Raw genomic sequence first — 24091 nt, forward strand, 5'->3', positions numbered from 1 at the left:
AGTTGTGACAACCCAAAATGTCTCTAGGATGTTTCCAAAAATGTCCATTGGCAGGCACAATCACCACTTGGTGAGTTCTGTCCCACACAACTTTCTGCGATGATAGGAATCCTCTGTATCTGTGCTGTCCAACATGGTAGCCATGAACCACGTGGCTCATACAACTGAGACGCTAAATTTTTGATTTAATTTAGTTAGAATTCATCTAAATTTAACAAGCCACCTGTGGCTAGTGGCTACTGTATTAGTACAGCTCTAGGTAGCAACACAGTAGTGGATAGAAAATTAGCCCTTTGAGGCTGGGCGCAGTGGCTCATGCCTGTAATCCCAGCACTTTGGGAGGCCAAGGCAGGCGGATCACGAGGTCAGGAGATCGAGACCATCCTGGCTAACACGGTGAAACCCCGTCTCTACTAAAAATGCAAAAAAATTAGCCAGGCGTGGTGATGGACACCTGTAGTCCCAGCTACTCGGGAGGCTGAGGCAGGAGAATGGCGTGAACCCAGGAGGTGGACCTTGCAGTGAGCCGAGATGGCACCACTGTACTCCAGCCTGGGCAACAGAGTGAGACTCCGCTTCAAAAAAAGAAAGAAAGAAAATAAAAAAAGAAAATTAGCCCTTTGATGGAGCACTCAATCCCTAAAATCAGTCAGGGGAACCTGTTACCAAAAGTCTAACCAGCTTCTTGCTTCATGGTGGCCGGGAAACACTAGGTTGGAAATGGCAAATACTTGGCACAGGTTCCATCCCTAGCCATTCCTATACCCGTGCCAGACATTGCTAGTCAATCACAGCATGCTGTCTTGTTCAGCCCAGGCACAGCTCAGAATGTTTCTCAATACAACACTCTGGGCAGCCCCCAACTACAGATCAGTTGGTGCTGGCAGGTGAAAGAAACATTATTGGCCATCCTGGCACTCAGCCACGAGGCCCATCTGTGAGGTCCAGCATCTCATCAGCCTGTAGGAGTGGCCTGATGACTCACCGGGTGGCCAGGAGTGTGTGGCCAGCCTAGGTCAGTGGAGCAACCATGATACAGAGAGGGGAGAGCCAATGGGCTGGAGGAGCTGAGATTTTTTTTTTCTAATTTCTCATAGAAACACCCACTGCATGATTTAGCAATGGAGGCTGGCAGGGTGGGGTGAGGCTACTGGCTGGTCAGCCACTGATATGCAAAGCATTTGAAGATTTTAATCTGCCTGGGACTGAATCTGAGTCAACCGGGGACATAGCTGCTGCCAAGGACATGGTAATAACGTCAGAAATGGCTCACAGGCCTACGGAGCATCTAGTACTCAAACCGCTCCGTGAAGTGGGTGAGAAAAACTGCATCCCCATTTGACAGACAGAGGAGTTGGTGACCTGAGAGGTTTGACAACAGGCATAGTGAGGCCCACTCTTAGATCTAAGACTTCCAGGGCTGCTGTGGACCCATGGAAATGCAGGAAGCCTGCTGTGTGTACCCTCATCAACCCTTTGCAGAGTGAAATGTCCACTTCTGCGGCAGAAGGCAGGTTAGAGAAGTCCCAGGAGACTGAGCATTGTTCTGAAGAAACTAGGAGCCATGTCCCCTGAGAAAAGGCTGAAGGTGACAGATGAGAAAACTGGGGGCGGATTCCATCATTTCAGTTGGAAAAGGGGTTAACCTCGTTGTCTGTTGTTCCAGAGAGTGGAACTGAGGCCACTGTGTGACTGTCCTGGGGAGGTAGCTCTCTGAGAAGGAAGAAAAAGCATCAGACTTTACTCATTGGGACATGAGGACCTTAGTTCTGCTATTGTCGCTGTAGGACCTCGAGAAAGTCACTTCCCTTCCCTGGTCTATGGATGCCAGGATATAGGAGAAGTAGGTTTTGTGGCTTCTGAGGGCCTTTCGGAGCTCTGGTTCCAAGGAAGAAACACAATTAGAGCAGACTCCAAATGTCCTATGTATTAGTGACCTCCCTGTCAATGGACATGACCAAGAGGGAACTCATTGACTGTCTATCCTGGAAATTCCTTGTGAAGTGAGCTGGGTCTCTGGGGTTTCTCCATGTGTAAAGGCCCCAGGTTCTGATGCTGAGGGGCATTTCTGGCAGCCTTCACACCTGCTGCTCCCTGCCCGCCATTCTTCTTCATCTCACCACCCCATCTGCTTTTCTCTTCCTTCCTCCCTCCCTCTTCAACATTTCATTTTCCCTCCATCAACCTTCCTGCCCTTGCTTCTCACTCATCCCTCTCCCTTTCTCACCTTCATGTGTATTGTTGTGAGCACGGTCTGAATCCCTGGCTATAGCTGGCTGTGAGCCACCCTTGCCCTGATTAGGGAGAGGATCTGTGTGCTGGGCAAAGTCCCTTTTCATTATTGCCTGGCTCTTTGGCCATCAAACTCCAGGCTTGGGTGAAGTAGGCTGGACTTTGTATGGAATCATGAGTCTCTTTTGTCCATTTAGCCTGTGGATGGCAATAGATAGCACTTATGCCCCATTCCCTCTTTCCACGCCCAGGGCAGACATTAATAAACAATCAGAGCACCCTTCTTCCACTCAGCCCAGATAAAAGCTCACAGTCCTTCCCATGTAACCCACGAGGCAGCCACTATCCGTCTATCAGGATTGATATGTGAATTAAAACCTACTTCCCTACTGACTGTATCAGTCAAGGGCCCACTAGAAAACAGCACCCTCAACTGGTATCCTGGAGAGCCTTTTTAATGAAAGAACTCTCCCAAGAAATGTGTGCAGGGTTAGGGGAACCAACAAAGCATGTTGAAGCCCTCAGAGATAAGCAGTGGTGGGAATACCTTACTAGCCTTGGGGCTGTATGGGACAAGGGAGAGGAGGGGTGATTTAGGAACACAGAGATAGCTGGAGTTGGTGGACAGGGACCACTTGAAGGGTGTTGTGGTTGTAGATGGAGAAACACAGCATTTCTAAAATTAGGGCCTGATACAGAGAGAGGTGGGTAGAGTGGGAACTAAATACCTTGACCACTAGTTCCTCTCATATGCAGGTCCTCCCAGAGCCTTCCATTGGCCAAACGAGGGGAAGCCAGAGAGCAAGAGAGCCTGGGGGTAGGGAGCACAATGCCTAGTGGTCAGCTCCTGGGGCACACAGCAGTGTGGCCTGAAGGTGGCCCTTGGAGAGGGCATGCCACGTGGATGTCAGGGCGGTCGTCTTGTTCCCCATTACTCAATCCTCTCCTGGGACGTTCTTTTCCTTCTTGGGGTGAGGCAGCTGTAAAGTCAGGGCTATAGTAGGGTGCAGAGGGCTCACTCCAGTGGGGCCATTTGAGGAGTTTAGGAAAAAAACTGTTTACCAAAGTAGGGGCAGGATGCAATGGTAGCATTAAGGTTAACAGTCAGCAAATGACAGCCCACGGCCAGATCCAACTCTCTGCCTGGTTTTAAAAATAAAGTCAAATTGAAACAGCCATGCCCATTCATTTACGTACTAAGTATGGCTGCTTGTGAGCCGCAAGGGTGGAGCTGAGTCATTGTAACAGAGAACCTACAGGCCTCAAAGCTCAGAAGATTTCCTATCTGGCGCTTTACAGAAAATATTTGCTGCCGCCTCCTTTAAGGGATGCTGCAGCACTTTGAGGATAGCAACAGTGAAGCTGTTACTTTTCTGGGCCTGAACTGTCAGAGGAGGGAGCTGCTGCCGCAACAGGAGAGGGGAGAGAGTGGAGAGAACAGCCTGAAGGCGCCTTTGGGAGAGGGAGGAAGGCAACCATGGTCATCCAGGAGGGAGAGTGAGTGAAGACACAGATGCCCTCTGATCTCCTACTAGTGGATGATTCCCATTAGCTTAACCCACCTGGAAGATGGAAAGTGAGGGAGTCCATTGGAAGAGTCCACAGGGTCAGCAGCCAGACATAGAGCAAAGTAGAAGAGATGGAGGGGGAATCTGAAGATGGTGTCTTCAGTTCTCCAGCATCCTTTTTTTCCCTCGCTGTCTGGCCTCCGATATGACCATCACAGAAACCAGGTGTCAGGCAGTCAGATCATTCCTGCTGAGCATCTAAGCTCCATGCTGGTGTTCTCACTGGCCAACCCCTCTGCCTGCCTCCAGGAACCTTGTGGAACAGCTGAGGAATTACATGCTTACACTCACCAACCAGACTATGGGCAAGACAGAATTCTAAATGAAGATCCAATTAATAAAGAACCAAATAGTGACCTAAGCCTTGTGGCCAGTGGAGGGGAGGGCAGGTGACAGCGGGTGTTTGGGTGGAGGCTGCAGGAGGCTGTCATAGAATCCTGCAGGGTGACATTGGCTGGCACCCTCAGGCATGGTGTCATGGAGGAAGGTGTCCCCACAGGCACGTGAAGGATGGCGGAGTCAGAGCCAGGAAGGGGAAGGAAACAGCTTTTATTGAGAAGCTGCTGTGTGCCAGGCACACGTGGCAGTCCATGCTGGGAGGCCAGTGTGCTAAAGTGGCTGTGAGCTCAGCCTCTAAAGTCAGACCATCTGGTCCACGAATCAGCCCCACCACCTCCTGGCTGGGTGCAAGACACATCCCCTCCCTCTGCCTGAGTGTCCTGAGATAAGAGTTACTCAGAGAATCCACCTCTTCGGATGGAAAGAGTAAATGATGTGATCTACTTAAGTCCTCAGTATTGAGTAATGCAGAAATCCTAGTGGTACCATTATCCATAGCCCTGATTTTGTCGTGTCCCCTCCTGCTAGGGAGGAAGGACAGAAATCTCAGAGTGGAACAGAAAAAATACAGGGATTTAGGCACTTAGGTTATCTTTACCTCCTCCTGTGTGACCTTGATCCAATTTGTTAACCTTTCTGATCCCAACTACCACACGCCCTGTGCTGTGACTAACACCAAACAGATGCTAAGTAAATACCAGTGCCCCCTGCACACTCTGCCCTACCCCTGAATGTACCTACTTGAGCCAGCTTCCTAGGCTTCCACAGCTTGCCACCACGACATAGGGCACGTCTGAGGCTTGGCCTGGCACCCACAGATTGGTCCTCTCTTATCATCACTGATGTGGAGCTTTGATGGGAAGCTGAGCATGTGTGGGAGGAGTCAGGCACACCTTGGGGTAAGTCTCACCTTGGCTTTCTTGCTGGGGGACCTCAGACAAGTGTCTCGACCTCTCTGAGTCTGTCTGTTCTGTGGGAGTGATGCCAACCATGTGGTCCTATTGTGGGAATGAAATGTGATCATGGATTTTAATATAATGAAATTCCAGGTCCAGTAGGAATATAAGGGTCATGGGGGAGTTTAGGAGTAAGGATCTATATCGGTGCTTGGCACACGGTTGGTTCTCCCTAAATGTTCTGTGAATTGTCTTGTGCTGGGTGCTGGGCTGGGGTCTTCAGTCCGGTTTTAACCGTGGAGTAAAGGGAAAGTGAAAATCTGATTGAGAGAGGTTACCAGGGATCCAGCACATGCTTGTTATGTGGGTGTCCTCTCACTGCACGGCTAGGAAAACTGAGGCTCAGAGAGCTCCCTGGGGTGTCAAAGGATGTGAACTCAGGCCATGATAAACATGCTTTCCCATTATGTGTGGATGCAGACAGCACAGGGGGACATCAGAAATCTCTGCCCACAGACTTGCTGCTCTGTCCCTTCTCAGGCTCATTTCTAACTGTTCATTCATTCACCTACTTATTCATTTGACAAATATTTAACTTTTATTTTAATTAATTTTTTTTTTTTTTTTTGAGACGGAGTCTCGCTCTGTCGCCCAGGCTGGAGTGCAGTGGCGGGATCTCGGCTCACTGCAAGCTCCGCCTCCCGGGTTCACGCCATTCTCCTGCCTCAGCCTCCCAAGTAGCTGGGACTACAGGCGCCCGCCACTACGCCCGGCTAATTTTTTGTATTTTTAGTAGAGACGGGGTTTCACCGTTTTAGCCGGGATGGTCTCGATCTCCTGACCTCGTGATCCGCCCGCCTCGGCCTCACAAAGTGCTGGGATTACAGGCGTGAGCCACCGCGCCCGGCCTTTAATTAATTTTTTAAGAGACAGAGTCTATTACTGCCACTTGGACTGGAGAGCAGTGGCGTGATCACAGCTCACTGTAGCCTTGAACTCCTGGGCTCAAGTGATCCTTCTGCCTCAGCCTCCTGCATAGCTGCAAGCCACAGCTATGCAGCTGCCACTACACCTGGCTAATTAAAAAAAAATTTTTTTAGACATGGGGTTGAGAGGTGACAACATGCTAGCAGCCCTTGCTCGCTCTCGGTGCCTCCTCCGCCTCGGCGTCCACTCTGGCCATGCTTGAGGAGCCCCTCTCTAGGCTGGCCGAGGCCGGAGCCGGCTCCCTCTGCTTGCCGGGAGGTGTGGAGGGAGGGACGCAGGCGGGAACCGGGGCCAGTGCGAGTTCCGGGTGGTCGGAGGCTCCGTACTCGGAGCGGCCGGCTCGCGCCGCTAGCCCCGGACAGTGAGGCGCTTAGCACCCAGGCCAGCAGCTGCGGAGGGTGCGCTGGGTCCCCCAGCACTGCTGGCCCGCCCGCGCTGCGCTCGAATTCTCACCGTGCCTCAGCCGCCTCCCCGCGGGGCAGGGCTCAGGACCTGCAGCCTGCCATACCCGAGCCCCCCACCACTGGTTAGGATCGCGCGCGGCCAGAGCCTCCACGGCACCGCGTCCCATGGACTGCCCAAGCGCTGATCAGTGCGGGAAGCTCAGCCCGTGGCCCCAGCGCAAGATCCACAAGGCGACCCCAGCTGGCCTCCCGGTCGGCAGGGGCGGGTGTGGGGGGGGCGGGGGTTGCTGGATTGGAGAACTTTCATGTCTAGCTAAAGGACTGTAAACGCACCAATCAGCAGTCTGGCACTCTGTGTCTAGCTAAGGATTTGTAAACGCACCAATCAGCACCCTGTCAAAACAGACCAGTCAGCTCTCTGTAAAACGGACCAGTCAGCTCTTTGTAAAACGGACCAATCAGCTCTCTGTAAAATGGTCCAATCGGCAGGATGTGGGTGGGGTCAGATAAGGGAATGAAAGCAGGCTGCCAGCACCAGCACTGGTAACCCGCCCGGGTCTCCTTCCGCGTTGTGGGGTGGTTGTGTTTTCGCTCTTTGCAATAATTCTTGCTGCTGGTCGATTGTTGGGTCTACGCTGCGTGTGTGAGCTGTAACACTCACCGCAAAAGTCTGTAGCTTCACTCCTGCAGCAGGCGAGACCACGAACCCATCAGGAGGAACGACCAACTCCAGACGCGGTGCCTTTAAGAGCTGTAACATTCACCGCGAAGGCCTGCAGCTTTACTCCTGAAGTCAGTGAGACCGCGAACCCATGAGAAGGAAGAAACTCCAGACCCGTCCGAAAGTCAGAAGGAACAAACTCTGGATATACCGTCTTTAAGAACTGTTAACACTCACTGCGAGGGTCCACGGCTTTATTCTTGAAGTTAGCGAGACCAAGAACCCGCCAATTCCAGACACAGGGTCTTTATGTTGCCCAGGCTCTTTTGGAACTATTGGCTTTTAAGTGATGCTCCTGTCTTGGCTTCTGGAAGTGCTGGTGTTTCAGGTGTGATCTGCTGTGCCTGAACTAACAAATGTTGATTGAAAGCTAAGTATGTGCTAGGCACTAAGGACTACAGTAAGTGAAGAGAACGCGTTGAGAATTCTGGCCTTCATAGGGGCTGCTCTGGAGGAGGAGTAGGGTGGGATTGGGAGTTAAGCTGCAATTTAAATAGGGAGTGAGCACAGGCACATTGAGAAGACTTTAGGTGACGATGTGAGCCATGCAGCAGGAAAAGCATTTGAGGCAGAGAGAACAGCATGTGCAAAGTTCTTGAGGTGAGAATGTGCTTGGAAGGGCGTATCCTGGAGGTCAGTGTAATTGACAGGGAGGATAGAAAGGGAGGGTCGCTAGGACAGGTGGTTATGGCGGGGGCGCTACAAAGACTTGGGAATGTATTCTATGAGACAGGTGCTATGTTACAACTGGACATTGTGGGGTAGTGGGGGAAAGCCTTGAGGGTCCCATGGAACCACTACTCAGATCCAGTATGTGTACGCGGAAAACAGTTTCAAGTCATCTCCTGGCTTTGGGGTTGCGTTTTCTCTCCCCAGCCTCTCTCCCCTTTAAGGGGAGACTCGCGATTTTATACCGTGAATTCCAAATGTCTATGGCCACCTCATGGGCTTAAAACAGCAGCTGACGAGGCAGGTGTATGTTTTGGGCCCGGACCGGAGTATGGCGATAAGAACACTTGCTTAAATTAAGTCTTGACAAAACCTCCCCGGCGGGATTGGCTCCTGGCCCTGGGTCAGTGGAGCTGGCGCAGGACCTCTGAGGGGGCAGGACATGAGGGGTGAGGCCCCACATGGGGTTCCCTCGCATTGTCCCTTTCTGCTAAGGCCCTCTGGGAAGGCTGGCAGCCTCAGGGCTAAGGACAGCCCCTACGACAGCCAGGATTCCCCCTGGAGCCCGAAGCTGAGGGTGATTCTTGGGAAGCGGCTGCTGACGTGGCCAGGCCTGGGCTGGAGAGGAAGGCGGGTAGTGGCGGCCAAGGCAGCCACCTGACGTCAGGCCTATTTATAATTCGGGCTTTGCTCCTTAGGCATGGAGTCTGTGAGTCACTCGGGGGCCTCGCCAGTGTCTCCCAAGGGGACGACGGGAGGGGAGGGTGTCTTTCCTTCTCTTCTTTCCCCCATCCCCTCTCCCCTTTTGTCCACCCTCCCAGCTTCTTGTGTCTTTTTAAATTAAATTTTATTTTATTTTTTTTTTGAGACAGAGTTTCACTCTTGTTACCCAGGCTGGAGTGCAATGGCTCGATCTCGGCTCACCGCAACCTCCGCCTCCCAGGTTCAAGCGATTCTCCTGCCTCAGCCTCTCCAGTAGCTGAGATTACAGGCATGCGCTGGCACGCCCATCTAATTTTGTATTTTTAGTAGAGACGAGCTTTCTCCATGTTGGTCAGTCTGGTCTTGAACTCCTGACCTCAGGTGATCCGCCTGCCTCGGCCTCCCAAAGTGTTGGAGTTACAGGCGTGAGCCACCGCGCCCAGCCACTTTCCTGTGCCTTTGTAAGCTGGAGATCTGATACAATTTGAATGTCTGTTCCCTCCAAATCTCATGTTGACGTGTCATCCGCAGTGTTGGAGGTGGGACCTAGTGGGAGGTGTTTGGGTCATGGGGGCAGATGCCTCCTGAATGTCTTGGTGCCCACCCTGGGTTAATCAGCGAGTTCTTGCTCTATTTGTTCACGGGACAGCTGCTTGTTCAAAACCAGTCTGGTACTTCCCTCCTCCCTCTCTCTGTCTCTCGCTCCCTCTCTCATCACGTGATGCCAGCTCCCCTTCTCCTGCGGTTATTGGAAGCTCCCTGAGGCCTCAGCAGATGCAGGTGCAGGTGCAGTGCTTCTTGTACAGCCTGCAGAGCTGTGAGCCAGTTGAACTTTTTTCTTTCTTTCTTTTTTTTTTCTTTCCCCCCACCCCCGTTGCCCAGGCTGGAGTGCAGTGGCACGATGTCAGCTCACTGCAAGCTCTGCCTCCTGGGTTCACGCCATACTTTTGCCTCAGCCTCCCCAGTAGCTGGGACTACAGGGGCCTGCCACCACGCCTAGCTAATTTTTTGTATTTTTAGTAGAGATGGGGTTTCACCGTGTTAGCCAGGATGGTCTTGATCTGACCTCGTGATCCGCCTGCCTCAGCCTCCCAAAGTGCTGGGATTACAGGCATGAGGCACTGTGCCTGGCCAAACTTTTTTCTTTATAACTTACTCAGCCCTAGATATTCCTTTATAGCAACACAAAGCAGACTAATGCAAAAGCCCACACTGTGGGAAACTTTTTCTTAAGGTAAAGACTTCGCTGTTGGCACTTGGACGTGTATTTGTGGCCTCCCATTGGGCATGTGACCTCATTAGAGCCGAAATGCTCCTTGGATTTTTGGATCCTGGGATTTCACTCCTGCAGGGCTGCGTAGGCATGCTGAGGTCTCAGCTAGTGACATGCTGATAGGCGTGGAATGGCCAGCTCCCAGAATAAAAGACCTGATTTGTAGCATTTGCCAATTTCCGTGGTGTAAACACTCCCATGGCTGCCGTTAAGTTATGAATTAGGCTTTGCTGAATGCAGACTTGGAAAGAGATGTTCACAATGGACTCTCAGAAGATGAATAGTGGGGGCTTCAGCACAGCAGCAGGGACCAGCCAACTCTTGGGCTCACCAGCTTCCAGGATGTGAAACTGCCTAAGCAGCCTTCATCTTTTCATCTCAAAAATGTACCATTTCTCTGTTTTGGGAACATTCCATGTCCTTCTATTTGAAACTATATATTGTTGGCTGGATGCAGTGGCTCACGCCTGTAATCCCAGCACTTTGGGAGGCCGAGGCAGGTGGATCACTTTAGGCCAGGAGTTTGAGACCAGCCTGGTCAATATGGCAAAACCCCGTCTCTACTGAAAATACAAAAATTAGCCAGGCATGGTGGCATGTGCCTGTAATCCCAGCTACTCAGGAGGCTGAGACAGGAGAATCACTTGAACCCAGGAGATGGAGGTTGCAGTGAGCCGAGATCGTGCCACTGCTCTCCGACTTGGGCAACAGAGCAGGACTGTCTCAAAAGAAAAGAAAATATATAATATTATTGTTAACTATAGTCATATAGTGCTATAGAACACTAGTACTTACAAAAGCTTTACATACGCCTCTTATATGGCATACTATTCTACTCTAGGTATCAGGCAGGGAATGAAAATGCATGTCCATTCAATACTTTTGCATAAAAATTCATAGCAGTTTTATTTATAATAGCCACCTTCTAGTTAAGTCACTGAAGGGCAGCTACTTCCAGGCTTACAAGGCCTTGAAGTCCTGGTCAGGCCAGGTGCAGTGGCTCACGCCTGTTATCCCAGCACTTTGGGAGCCGAGGGTCGGATCACAAGGTCAGGAGTTCGAGACTAGCCTGGCCAACATGACGAAACCCCATCTCTACAAAAAATTAGCGGGCGTGGTGGCACGTGCCTGTAGTCCCAGCTACTCAGGAGGCTGAGGCAGGAGAATTGCTTGAACTCAGGAGGTGGAGGTTGCAGTGAGCCGAGACCGTGCCATTATACTCCAGCCTGGGCAACAGAGCAAGACTGCATATCAAAAAAAAAAAAGCCAACAAAAAAATAAAACTGCTGGTCAGTGGTTACTCTGGCAGCTGGGATGGAGGGTGGGTGTCTCTCAGGAGGGGTCAGTGAAGCACATTGCTCAGAGGGCCCGGCCAACCAGAGCTAGAAGTGAGAAAAGCCAAAGGCAGAAGAGACACCTTCCTCCACTCAAGACCGCTTCTACTAAGACCTTGGTATATTTCCTCCCACTTGATTTTCTACAGGAAGTGTTTTGTTCATTTTGGACAGCTCTGGTGTGTGCAACATTGTACTCAATCTTACTTTACAAGCTGAGACAAGCACCTTTCAATGATTCTGCAAATGTTTCCCAAACAACTCTCACACACTGCAGGGGTGGGGATGTGGAAAAAGATATAGTCACTTTGGAAAACAGTTGGAAAGTTTCTTTGTTGTTTTGTTTGTTCGTTTGTTTGTTTTTGAGACCAAGTCTCACTCCATTGCCTAGGCTGGAGTGCAGTGGCACCATCTTGGCTTACTGCAACCTCCGCCTCCCGGATTCAAGCAATTCTCCCACATCAGCATCCCGAATAGCTGGGATTACAGGTGCCTGCCACCACACCAGGCTAATATTTGTATTTTTAGTAGAGACAGGGTTTCCCCATGTTGGCCAGCCTGGTCTCGAACTCCTGACCTCGGGATCCACGCACCTCGGCCTCCCAAAAGGTTGGGATTACAGATGTGAGCCACCACAACTGGCAGGAAAGTTTTTTTTTTTTTTTTGAATTAAACATAAAATTATTATACTACCCAGCAGTTTCACTCAGAAGAACCTATGTGACTTTGTAGCGACATTATTCGTAGTGCCCCTAAAGTGGAAACAGTCTAGCTGCTCATCACCTGTTGCATGGATTAAGAAGAAAAAAAAAAAGCAAAAACATGTCTATCCATGCAACAGGAATGCAATTGAGCAACAAAGTAATGAGGGGCCGACGCACACAGGAGCGTGGATGAATGTCAAAAACATGCAAAGTGAAAGCGGCCAGGGGTAAATGACCAAATACTTTATGATTCCGTTATAGCGAATGTCCAAAAAGGGCAAATTTATAGGGATAGAGAGTAGATTTGTGGTTGCCTGGGGCTGAGAGAGGGAACAACTAGTGACAGTAAATGGGCATGAAAAGAAGAGTTTTTTTGGGGGTGATGAGAATTTTTTTTTTTTTTGGAGACAGAGTCTCACTCTGTTGCCCAGACTGGAGTGCAGTGGCATGATTTCTGCTCACTGCAAACTCCTCCTCCCAGGTTCACACCATTCTGCCTCAGCCTCCTGAGTAGCTGGGACTATAGGCACCCGCCACCATGCCCGGCTAATTTTTTGTATTTTTAGTAGAGACGGAGTTTCACCTTGTTAGCCAGGATGGTCTCGATATCCTGACTTTGTGATCTGCCTGCCTTGGCCTCCCAAAGTACTGGGATTACAGGCGTGAGCCACCGCGCCTGGCTGGGGTGATGAGAATTTCTAAAGTTAGATTGTGGTGACAATTGCACAGCTCTGTAAATTTATTAAAAATCAAGTTGAAACTTAGCTGAATGTTATGACATACAAATAATACCCCAATATAACTTTAAAAACAAATACCCAAAGGATTATAAATCATACTACTATAAAGACATATACACATGTATGTTTATTGTGGCACTATTCACAATAGCAAAGACTTGGAACGAACCCCAATGTCCATCAGTGATAGACTAGATAAAGAAAATGTGGCACATGTAATACTATGCAGCCGTAAGAGAGAATGAGTTCATGTCCTTTGCAGGGACATGGATGAAGCTGGAAACCATCATTCTCAGTAAACTAACACAGAAACAAAACCAAACACTGCACGTTCTCACTCAAATAGGAGTTGAACAATGAGAACACATGGACACAGGGAGGGGAACATCACACACTGGGGCCTGTCGAGGGGTGGGGGACTAGGGGAGGGAGAGCATTAGGAGAAATACCTAATGTAGATGATGGGTTGATGGGTGCAGCAAACCACCATGGCACGTGTATACCTATGTAACAAACCTGCATGTTCTACACATATATCCCAGAACTTAAAGTATAATAAAAATAAAGTTACAACTTTGGCTGGGAAGTAACAGGTGTAAATAAACAAGGAAATATAGTAATTGTATGGAGATATGGCAAGTAAAAACAATGCTTGCTAAACACTCTTTTTTTGATGGTTTCATACTGTTACTGCGAATTGGAGGTACTCTAATTTATTTGACATTCTCTAGTTATCGGACTTCATGTCTGCTCTTTCAATGCTACAGTCAACATGGTGATGAAATTTTCTGGTTTAGGATTACTTCCTCAAACTTGTTTCCCAGAAAAGGGCTTTCTGGGTCAAAAGTTATCAAAATTTTCTAAGGCTCTCAATATGATGACAAATGATTTCTCCAAGCGTGGGACAGATTGAGAGCTACAGTTTCCTGCCCTTACCTCATCTTCCAACTATGGAACCAAGTATTCCCTTCACAAAGAAAACCCATGATTCATGGTGTTAGAAGTCAGAATAGTGGTTTCCTGGCTGGGCGTGGTGGCTCATGCCTGTAATTCCAGCACTTTGGGAGGCTGAAGCAGGCGGATCATGAGGTCAGGAGTTCGAGTCCAGCCTGGCCAATATGATGAAAACCCTTCTCTACCCAAAATATAAAAAATTAGCCGGGTGTGGTGGCATACACCTGTAATCCCAGCTACTCGGGTGGCTGAGGCAGAATTGCTGGAACTGGGGAGGTGGAGGTTGCAGTGAGCTGAGATTACACTACTGCATTCCAGCCTGGGCATCAGAGCAAGACTCCATCTCAAAAAAAAAAAAAAAAAAAAAAACACAAAAACAAATAATAGTGGTTTCCCTTCAGGAAATATTGACCAGAAGGGAGCATGAGGGAAGTTCTAGGTCTCTGTTTACTTTTTGATCAAGCTACAAGGCTTTTCCTAAGCACCAGAAGGTTCCCTCATGCTTCTTCCCAACCAAAAGCGAATGGCTCCTCTGACTTCCTTTACCATAGATTAGATTTGCCTGTTCTTGAACTTCTTATAAATAAAATTATAACTTTTAAATCTTGATCAGGGTGCTAGTTATATTGGTGTGTTCTTTCTGTAAGAGCCACTGAGCTGTACCTTATGATATATTTTTCTGGTTGTATAAACGTGTGGGGCCAAGAGGAAGAATATTTCAGGGCACTGTTCACTCCGCGGCCTGCAGGGTCCTGCCTGACCATCCTCCTTGCAGAGGTAGCTGACAGTGTCTGTACCTGACTGTGCCCATTCCCCCATGTGGTCTTGGTTTATGGCGTTGGTGGGGGTGGGAGTAGGGCTGTGCCCATGAGCTAACCTGTCTCTCTCTTCTCTCCCCACTGTGTCCCTGTGTGTCAGTTCTGTGTCCATCTCATGTGCTGCGTGTGTCTGTAAAGCCTCATTCCGTGCTGTCTGGCAGGAAGCTCCATCTCATCTCATCATCTCACGGCCCTGGCACTGCCTCAGCATGGCCATCTCATCACGCCTCGCCCTGTGGGAGCAGAAGGAAAGTGACACTCATGGCTGGGGCTGCAGCCATCTGCAGGGACTGACTCGACCCTCGGGAGACAAGTCCGACCTTTCCCACCTTGAGTGGGGAGTCTGACATCCAGCCCTCCTAGTAGCATGTGCAATCCCACCTTCAACCTTCTCCCAGCCAGCTCGGTTAGCCTTGGCCTTTCCAACCCAGCTGGACACTGATGGCCATACCCTTGACGCCCCCCCGAGGGCTGCCTGGTTGTTTCCTGTTCCACAGGTGGTGGTGGTGGTGGTGGGGGGTGGTAGACCAGCTGTCCCAGCTGGATCCTCATGGCAGCTCTGATGAGCACTGGAGTTTGGGTGGGAGGAGGGGCACATGGGGGACAGAGGCAGGGCTGTCAGCTGCCAGGTTTATGCCACAGGGGTGGGTTTCTGTGGTCCCTGCCTTCGGGCACCATAGAGAACCGGAAACGGGCTCTCCTCCCCAGATATTCCTTTCTCCCCTTTAGTATTTTTCATGATACGCTACGAAGGGCTGCCTCTTTCTAAGATGCCTGTTACTTCCTGCACCCTCACTCCACCTTGTGCATGTGATTTGATGAGTTGGAGGTGGGAGGGTGAGAAACTTCTTTCTGGCTGCCTCCTGCCTGCCCCTGCCCCTGCCCCTCCCAGCCTGATCTGGGGGTAGCAGCTAAAATGGCATTGGAAGCTGCAGAGGGTGCCTTAAGACTGTCTCTTGGCCAGGCGTGGTGGCTCACGCCTGTAATCCCAGTACTTTGGGAGGCCGAAGCAGGTGAATCATGAGGTCAGGAGTTCGAGACCAGTCTGGCCAACATAGTGAAACCACGTCTCTACTAAAAATACAAAAAATTAACTGGGTGTGGTGGTGTGTGCCTGTCATCCCAGCTACTCAGGAGGCTGAGGCAGGAGACAGAGGTTGCAGTGAGCCAAGATCGCGCCATTGCACTCCAGCCCGAGCGACAGTGCGAGACTCCGTCTCAAAAAAGAAAAAAAAAAAAAAGACTGTCTCTCACTTATGAAGTGTCTTTCAGTCCCACATCAGGAAGGAAAGAAGGGAAATGATGTTGATGTGGGCCCTGCAGTGCTGCCCCTGCTTCTCTGTCCCTGGGCAGAGGTCTGCATTCACCAGCTTTATCCCATGGCCTTGTCTCCTGGCCTTTGCTATCTCCTTTGAATTCCTCCCTTATCAGTTGGGCTACACACAGCAAGTCTTTACCATACATGCACAGAGGTTCTTGATAAGGAGGCTATTTTAGACCAGTATGGAGCTCTTCCGTATAAAGCACTGGTGACTTTTTTTTCTTCTCATGGGCTGTCACTGATGCAGGCTAAAGACACACTTCAGTCGGCCACAGCCGGTCTCATGCCTCAGCCTCCAAGTCGCTGTAGCCAACAGCGGGGTCTCAGCTGCACCACAAGTCCAGCCAGTGCTGGCCTAGGCCGTATTTCTGGGGGGTAAAATATCAGGGTCCAACCTGCCTGTTCTAGGACCCAGTGTTAGAGAGCTCCTGGCTGACCAAGTCCTGGTTTAAGGACTGTCAGGAAGCCACAGCACTGTGTCAGTTGAATGGGTTGGAGCCACAAGGTCAGGTCCTTATATAAGTCATGGCTGTAAGCCCTTCCCTATCTTACCATGTTCCTGGTGCATAGTAAGTGATTAATTGGTTCATCTATTATATTAACTATAAGCTGAGGGGGACCAGGAGAGCGTGGATGATTCCCTGTGATCCATCCCCTTCTGGAAACTGGGAAACCTCCTTTCAGAGCAGGTCCTTCTAGAAATGGGCATGTCCCATGGCAAGGAAGGGAACCAGCAGCCTTGACCATACAAGTGACTGTTCATATCACAAGGAGAGTGGATCCAGGCAGAAATCACATTGACCCGCATAATTCCTGGCTGCCCCTGTGTTCCATTTTCATGCGCTGTCTCAGGGACCCCCCTGAGTCGTGCTGGGCCTCACCTGCTTGGCTGTGGCTTCTCATACATGGGCTTGGTCATGTATGTCTCCTCCGCCCCCTCCCAGGCTCCATCACAAACTTTGAAGGGCAGCTTGCTCCTGCTGGTTGACTCACTGAGCTCTCTCTTTCCTTGCTTCTGCAAAACAGATTCGGGAAGAGGACAAGAGCCCTCCACCATCCTCGCCCCCTCCTCTTTTCTCTGTCATCCCAGGGGGCTTCATTAAGCAACTGGTCCGGGGGACTGAAAAAGAGGCCAAGGAAGCGAGACAGAGGAAGCAGTTAGCTGTCGCCTCTCCAGAACGAGAGGTAAGTGGTTCCTAAGAAGGAGGACCGTATGCGTTTCCATACCCATCATTCTGTCTTGTGAGCTTCCTCTGAGTCATTTGTCATCCTGCCTTTGCTCCTGCTGTCCTGGTTTTGAGGAATGTCCTTTATTCAACTTGATCTATTGAGCTCTTATGTACCCTTCAAAACCCAGCTCAAACAGCACATCTCTGGAAAGTTCTTCCATTGCCTGCCTTCCTCTGAATCCTGCTGCACCTTCTATGCCTGTCTTAACTGTGGTTGGTTGGCATAGTACTTATTTGATTATATGACTTATTTGACTAGAAATTCCTTAAGAGCAACAATGATTTCTCTCATTCAATTCTGTATCTTAAGCAGCCCTCATAGTACTTGGTCAGTAGTGAGTGCTTAACAGTTTGTTTAGTGAATGAATAAATGATATTCATTGATGCATGGTTGGTGGGGATTACTTGAACACTATTTTTATAGAAAAGGAAACCTAGATACTGGCTAAGATGTATAGTTGGTTCACTTTAAGCAGAAAGCTATTGAGTTGGTACTAACTGGTGTAGTTGCATTGATTGTTAAAATATTGAATCCTTCATACCAGGTGGTAAATGGTTGTAACCCTTGGCCCCCCAAGTGCCCTCAGCTGCCATGTTTACCCAGGTCCCTCTCCTGAGTCCCTTGGAATGGCTACAATCCAATAATTACAGGGTTAATGCTTGGCACAGGTAGGAACCTCAGTACCTTCCTCCAGCTGGTGTCCGTCCTGATTGGTTGATGTCCACTAAAAATCCTTAGCTATTCTGAATAGCGCTGCTGCATTGAAGCAATAGTTGAATGCAATGTGGCCCTTACACTTTAAGGATTTGTAAACTTGTCGCTGGTGGTGGCCAGTGCTATTTCTCTCTTGTCCTCTTTAGCCATGGAACCTGGGCAGGATGACAAGGTGGACCATGAGGGAGGCAGGCTTGGAATGCAATGCATCTTGGGAGTATCCCTGTGTTAGGTAGAAAGGGCATCTCTTTGTGTCTCCAGCGCCCCCTTCAGACAAGGTGAATGCTGCAATGCTTGGGCTGAGAGGTCTGGTGGCCTCAGGGCCTGGTGCTGGCTTGAGCCCAGTGACCCATCCTGACTCTTCCTTCCCCTCCCCTTCAGCTTTGGTTTGCCCGGCTAGTCCCACATGTGCCTGCACCTGTCTGATGAACGACTTTGATGCATTAGAGAGGTCTTCCAGCAACTGAACAGTAGCAGCTGCTGAAATACCTCGGCCAAGTCTTTGTTGGGGAGGTTGACAGGGAGGACAGGCTCTGTTCCCACTCTTGCCTGACCTAAGGCATAAGTGGGGGCCAAAGTTGACCCCGGCAGGCTGTTGTTAGGTTATGATGAAATGTTACTGTGTGCTGTTTATCTCCAGACAATGCTGCTTTGCTGCTCATGGGCTCATTTAATACCCCGTGCAGCAATGCAGGTGGATGGGATTCTACCCATTTATCACAGGTGGAGACTGAGGCCAAAAGAGGTCAAGTGATTTTCCCAAGGTCATCAGACCAGATAGAGGCAGAGCGAGGGGGAGAGCCTGTGTGTTCTCTGCTCTCACAAGATGCCTGGAAAAGGACCAGTCTGGTGAGTGAGGTGGCCGGGGTGGTGCCACAGAGACCTGGGGGAAAGGGTTCCATGAGATTGACACCAGCAGCGCTGGTGTCACTGTGAGCAAGTAAAGAGGCAGAGTTAAGCCATGGATGGGGACAAACTGTCACTGCTGTGCCTGGATGGAGACTCAGAGCCAAGATGCAGGATGGCTCTGAGCCTCAGCCCACAGCAGGTGGCTGGACCATGGGCCAAGATATTCCTGGGGCTGGAGCAAGGGAGCCTCAGGACATGTTTCCACAAGGCAGCAAGCTCTGGCTGGTTCCTGCCAATTTAATTTTCTTGTCCCAATCAATAAATAACTCCGTACTCTCTTGCCTTGTCCCAGCACAACTGTTTCATTTGATCCTCATCTAATCCTTGCAAGAAGCCATTAGAATCCATCCCATTTTGCAGGAATGGAAAACAAGGCTTGGGGAAGTGACCTGGTTCTCCTAGGGCTACCCAGTCAGTGAGGAACAGGGAGAGGCTGGAATAACACTGGAGTGGAAAGTAACCCGTATTGAATGTCAAGGAGACCTAGATTCTAGCTCTGGCCCTGCCGCTTTTTGTGGTCCTGGCTAAACCCCTTCCCCTTTCTTGGCCTCAGTTTACTCATCTGTAAAAATGTGCTATTAGTTTCTATTGGCCCCAGTTATTCTAGAGGTGCTGTTTCCCTCTATATGCTAAAAAGGGTGGCAGGGTGGGGGGACCAAAGGCTTTGATGACTTTGAAGGTCCAAAGGAAGAGAATCCATGGGCATATGAGGGTGGGGTGGGAGGAGGCTGGCACTGGTTATCTTGTTTGGCCCACCCCATGTTACTGTCTCCTCTGTGGTGGTTGGTTAAAAATAAGGCACTGACTTACTTTTCAATATGGTGTAGACAGTGGTGAGATTTGCCAAGTGCAGTCAATCCCCCTTCCAAGGCTATGTCCTGCCTTCCCCCAGAAGGTCAGGAGAAGCTACTCGGCCTTGGGCCCCAGAGCCATGATGCTGAGCACCAGCTGAACCTCGTAATCACCCGGGCAGTCACAACCCAGGCAGACTCAATCAGAGTCTCTGGGAATAAGGCCAAGGAGTTAAGGTTTTTAAAAGTGCCCCAGGAGATTCCAGAGAGCCCTAGAGAGAAAAGGAAGGGCATCTAATATGCCGCAGTTCAAGGCACTGGCTTTGGAGTCAGAGAGAACTGGCTTTACATTTCACCTTTGTAGCTGGGTCACCTTACATCTTTACATCTAGTTCTTTGCTTGTAGAATGGGGAGAAGTTCAGAATCTACTCCAGTTGTTCCTTCGGAGGATTAAATAGGAGATTGCATGATGGTGATATAGGGCTCATTGCAAGGAAGATATAAATGATAGATACTATTATTATTGTGATTATTACAAAGATGAAAACAGAGACTTTGCTGTGGCATTGGTCACCTAAAACAGGAGAGAGACACAAAAGCCAGAATGGAACGCAGAAGGTGGCCACGCTGTGACTGGTGTACTAGCATAGTGCTCTGGAACTTTGTGCAAGCTTGGAACAATTTCTGATTGAGGTCTTCAGGCAAAGATTTGTAGAGAGGAGATAGAAGAGATATTTGAGCTGGGTATAGAAGATGAGTAGACCATGGACAAGTGAAGAGGGGAAAGGGCACGCCAGGCAGCAAGCTCAGCATGGGCAACAGCCTGGAAGCAGGGACTGGTCAGGTAGGAGAAGGTGACCAGTACAGTTCATGCATGGGAACAAGTAGGGACAATATGGTCAGATTGGAGGCTGGGGTTCCTTGTTGAGGAATTTGAAAGACCAATGGTGGTGCCAAATGATTTTCCTTTAGGCTGTGGGCAGCTACCCAAATCTTTTGATCTGGTATAAAATGGCTGGCAGCAAATTGAAGGGACAGCAGTTCACGGGCTGTGGCAATGGCCCAAGTGAGGGATAGCGGACATGAGTTTGGAAAAAGAGACATAGATGTGAAGCTTGGCAGGGTGGAATCAACATGCCCCTGGGACTGGTTTGAATGCAAGAGGAGGGGGAGAATCCCAGATTCCCAGGCATGGGTGTCTGTGAGGCTGTGCTGGCATTGTCCAAGATGGAAGAACCCAGGCTAGGGCTGGTGGTGAAGCGAGACATCAGGGTAGAACTTGCTTATGAGGTTGAGGTCTTTTTCTGCAGAGATGGAGGCACAGCTGGACCTGTGAGCTCTTCAGGCCATAGCCAGGCTGGTTTGAGGATGAAGCTCTGCACAAGGCTAAAATCACAAGGCAGTAACAAGGCCTGGGAAGGGAGCAGGCAGTGGAAACCCCTTGGGTGTTATGCAGTCACAAATGTCTGGGTCAGGCAAGAGTGGGGGACCCCAGGGGCAGAAACCAGGGCCCTCAGCTGGTATGGGAAGTGTGATATGGGGATCAGGGCAGTGGAAGTAGCAGCAGCTCGGTTTATTCTTCTCTCTCTGATCTCCAAAGTGCATTTCTACATCTCATCCTATAAAAGATCTGGATGGTCAGGTGGTATCTGCCTGTACTGGGGAAACCCGAAGCCCAGAGAGAAGAGATGGTAGCCCAGATAGACATAGAAGGAAGCCTAGCTGGAGAGTGTTAGAGCCAAGGTGAGAACAGGTCCTCTAGTGACAGGCCCTGAGTCCTTTCCTGGATCCCCTACTCGCCTAGGAAAAATCCAGGCAGAAATAACAACAGTAGTAGCAGCAGCTACTGTTGTTGAGGACACACTATGCGCTGGGCTCAGTTTCTACATATTGTCACACATTCTCACACCTACCCTGCAAGGTAGGCTTTTATCATTCTCATTTTATTGATTAAAAAACAGACTCAGAGAGGAGAAGTCATTTAGCTAAGGTCACACAGCTATAGAGTGTCAGAGTCAGGAGTTGAACTTGGTTCTGTTGGGCTCCAAAGTCCACTCCTTCCACTCCATCACTCAACTTTGAGGGGCTAGGCCAAGGTCAAGGGTGCTAGGCTTGGCCATGCCTGTTGGATTTGGAGGTGCTCGAGCATCTGTGGAAGGATGAATGGAGAAGTGAACAATGAAATGAATGAACGAACACGAGTGAATGACAAAGCTGTCAGGTCAGCAAGCAGCTATGTAGGCATGGTTGTGTTCTTTCTCCCAGATCCCAGAAATTTCCATCAGCCAACCCAACAGCAAGTCCAGCAGTGGCACCAGATCTGGAAGCCAGCAGATCTCTCAGGACGACCAGTCAAGCTCTCCTGGGAGCTCAGACATTCTGGGCAAGGAGAGCGAGGGGTCCCGCAGCCCCGACCCTGAGCAGATGACAAGCATCAATGGTGAGAAGGCCCAGGAGCTGGGCTCCAGTGCGACACCAACCAAAAAGACTGTCCCCTTCAAGAGGGGCGTGAGGAGGGGTGATGTGTTGTTGATGGTGGCCAAGCTGGACCCGGACTCAGCCAAGCCAGAGAAGACTCATCCCCATGACGCCCCCCCTTGCAAGACCTCTCCCCCCGCCACAGATACTGGAAAGGAAAAGAAAGGGGAGACCTCTAGGACTCCTTGTGGCTCCCAGGCCAGCACCGAGATCTTGGCCCCGAAAGCTGAGAAGACCCGGACTGGGGGTCTTGGGGACCCAGGCCAAGGAACTGTGGCACTGAAAAAAGGCGAGGAGGGTCAAAGCATAGTGGGGAAGGGGCTTGGGACCCCCAAGACCACAGAGCTGAAAGAGGCTGAGCCCCAGGGCAAAGACAGGCAGGGGACCAGGCCCCAAGCCCAAGGGCCCGGCGAGGGGGTGCGACCAGGGAAAGCAGAGAAGGAGGGAGCAGAGCCCACAAACACGGTGGAAAAGGGGAATGTCTCTAAGGACGTAGGGAGTGAAGGGAAGCACGTAAGGCCCCAAATCCCTGGGAGAAAGTGGGGAGGTTTCCTGGGAAGAAGGAGTAAGTGGGACGGTCCCCAGAATAAGAAGGACAAAGAAGGGGTGCTCTTAAGTAAGGCAGAGAAGACAGGTGAGCCTCAGACCCAGATGGAGAAGACAAGCCAAGTGCAGGGCGAGTTGGGGGACGATCTGAGAATGGGGGAGAAAGCAGGTGAGCTTCGGAGCACGACTGGGAAGGCAGGTGAGTCCTGGGATAAGAAGGAAAAGATGGGGCAACCCCAGGGTAAGTCCGGGAACGCAGGTGAAGCTCGGAGTCAGACAGAGAAGGGCTGTGAAGCCCCAAAGGAGGTGAGCACAATGGTGGAGTCGCCAGCAGCTCCTGGGAAGGGAGGCTGGCCAGGAAGCCGTGGGCAGGAAGCAGAGGAGCCCTGCTCAAGAGCAGGTGATGGGGCTGGTGCCCTGGAGACAGAGCTGGAAGGACCCAGCCAGCCTGCTCTGGAGAAGGATGCAGAAAGGCCTCGGATACGGAAGGAGAACCAAGACGGGCCAGCCCCGCAGGAGGAGGGCAAAGGAGGCCAGAGCAGAGACTCAGACCAGGTGAGGGGGCTGCGGCCCTGGGAGCGGGAAGCGGCAGACAGGCCTCTCCAGAGATGCAGGGATGGGAAAGATCTGCCCCAGGGATGGACAAGGGGTGGACGGGGGGTGGGCAGGGAATTGGAGAGGGGTGGCTGGAACTGCAAGGCACCCAGAGGAGGGGACGAGCACTTCCTCCATGAGCAGAAGTCTTGAAGTTTCCATTGCACCTGCCCTGGGGTGGGAATTCCCCACAGAGTGAGGGAAGGTCCCCAAAGTGTGAGGTGTCTCCTCACGGCTGACATGGTAGAGCTTGCTTATGATGTCACACGACAGCTTTCAAACGGGATGGCATAACGAGTAGATTGTTAAAAATGCAGATTCCTGGGGCCAGCCATGGAGTCTCTCATTTCAAAGGCCAGGAGTGGGGCCCAGGAATCTGCATTTATGTAGTATTTTTTTTTTTTTTGAGACGGAGTCTTGCTCTGTCACCCAGGCTAGATGGTGCAGTGGTGTGATCTCGGCTCCACCTCCCGGGTCCGCAACGGGAATCTGCATTTAAATAAGCACACTCCCTCTCCTGTTCTCCCCCAGGAGATTCTGGTTTAGATGGCTCCAGAGCACACTGTGAGAAACCCCCGTGTAAGGTAGAAGATGGGCAGCGGTGCCATTTGCTGGTTTAATTTACGTGATGTTGGTTCTCAGGCTCCTGAGGACAGATGGTATGAGGCAGAGAAAGTCTGGCTGGCTCAGAAGGATGGATTTACTCTTGGTAAGTAGGGGTGTTAGCACCTTTGGAGGGTCTGAGTCTTCTCCTGTGCCCCCTACTGCTGCCAGCCATATGTTCCAGGTCCTGATTATACTTTGGTGGTCAGGAGGGAAGAGGAGCAGTGGAGACTGTCTTTCAAAGGCATTTGTGTCTTGATAATGAGTTATTTACCTACTGTAACTCACTAATGCAACAAGCATGCTTTCTTCCTACGGCGTTCTTCGAGGAAGCCAGAGTCTGGTACAAGTGGGCCAATAGATTTGATCTCATGAGCCTACTTTTGTCGATTGGTTGTGGCTGATCACTGCACTCTACTGAGAAGTGATGCTGAGTCTCAGTCTGAACATGGCTGGGAAGAGTGGTTGATTAGTGATGTCTGCCATGGGCACTGGAGGGGGAAATGGCAGTCTGTGTGTGAGATAGGCCAGTGTACCCAACTGTCTGGGTGCCTGCTCTGTGC

The 24091-nt window shown here is 50.5% G+C and overlaps 1 protein-coding gene across 13 annotated transcripts in view, besides 5 other annotated features; it reads left to right on the forward strand.

Moving 5' to 3' along the window:
- The window catches only part of MYO18B (myosin XVIIIB), a 321660-nt gene that overhangs the window by 4355 nt on the left and 293214 nt on the right, over positions 1-24091 (forward strand). For 6 of the 13 annotated variants that reach the window (XM_011530461.3, XM_011530458.3, XM_017029014.2 and 3 more), the window contains exons 2-6: positions 14442-14589; positions 16689-16847; positions 18330-18455; positions 21573-22886; positions 23568-23634. In XM_011530461.3, the coding sequence (XP_011528763.1) occupies positions 14551-14589; positions 16689-16847; positions 18330-18455; positions 21573-22886; positions 23568-23634 (1705 nt within the window). In that variant the 5' untranslated portion in view covers positions 14442-14550. The other 7 variants (NM_001318245.2, NM_032608.7, XM_017029015.2 and 4 more) reach the window with 5 other exon arrangements.
- Positions 920-1214: an enhancer, noted in NCBI's record as "tiled region #14204; K562 Activating non-DNase unmatched - State 8:EnhW". NCBI's record gives its function as "activates a minimal TATA promoter and a strong SV40 promoter by Sharpr-MPRA in K562 cells {active_cell/tissue: K562}" and the evidence as "EXISTENCE:reporter gene assay evidence [ECO:0000049][PMID:27701403]".
- Positions 3568-3617: an enhancer, noted in NCBI's record as "active region_18789". NCBI's record gives its function as "activates an Ori minimal core promoter by ATAC-STARR-seq in GM12878 lymphoblastoid cells {active_cell/tissue: GM12878}" and the evidence as "EXISTENCE:reporter gene assay evidence [ECO:0000049][PMID:35858748]".
- Positions 7796-8307: an enhancer, noted in NCBI's record as "H3K4me1 hESC enhancer chr22:26150305-26150816 (GRCh37/hg19 assembly coordinates)". NCBI's record gives its function as "activates a minimal SCP1, AML or CMV promoter by ChIP-STARR-seq in naive H9 embryonic stem cells {active_cell/tissue: H9 hESC(naive)}" and the evidence as "EXISTENCE:reporter gene assay evidence [ECO:0000049][PMID:30033119]".
- Positions 8308-8817: an enhancer, noted in NCBI's record as "H3K4me1 hESC enhancer chr22:26150817-26151326 (GRCh37/hg19 assembly coordinates)". NCBI's record gives its function as "activates a minimal SCP1, AML or CMV promoter by ChIP-STARR-seq in primed H9 embryonic stem cells {active_cell/tissue: H9 hESC(primed)}" and the evidence as "EXISTENCE:reporter gene assay evidence [ECO:0000049][PMID:30033119]".
- Positions 13340-13634: an enhancer, noted in NCBI's record as "tiled region #2919; HepG2 Activating DNase matched - State 8:EnhW". NCBI's record gives its function as "activates a minimal TATA promoter and a strong SV40 promoter by Sharpr-MPRA in HepG2 cells {active_cell/tissue: HepG2}" and the evidence as "EXISTENCE:reporter gene assay evidence [ECO:0000049][PMID:27701403]".

This window comes from Homo sapiens, chromosome 22 (assembly GCF_000001405.40).
Source record: "Homo sapiens chromosome 22, GRCh38.p14 Primary Assembly".
Lineage (NCBI taxonomy): Eukaryota > Metazoa > Chordata > Mammalia > Primates > Hominidae > Homo > Homo sapiens.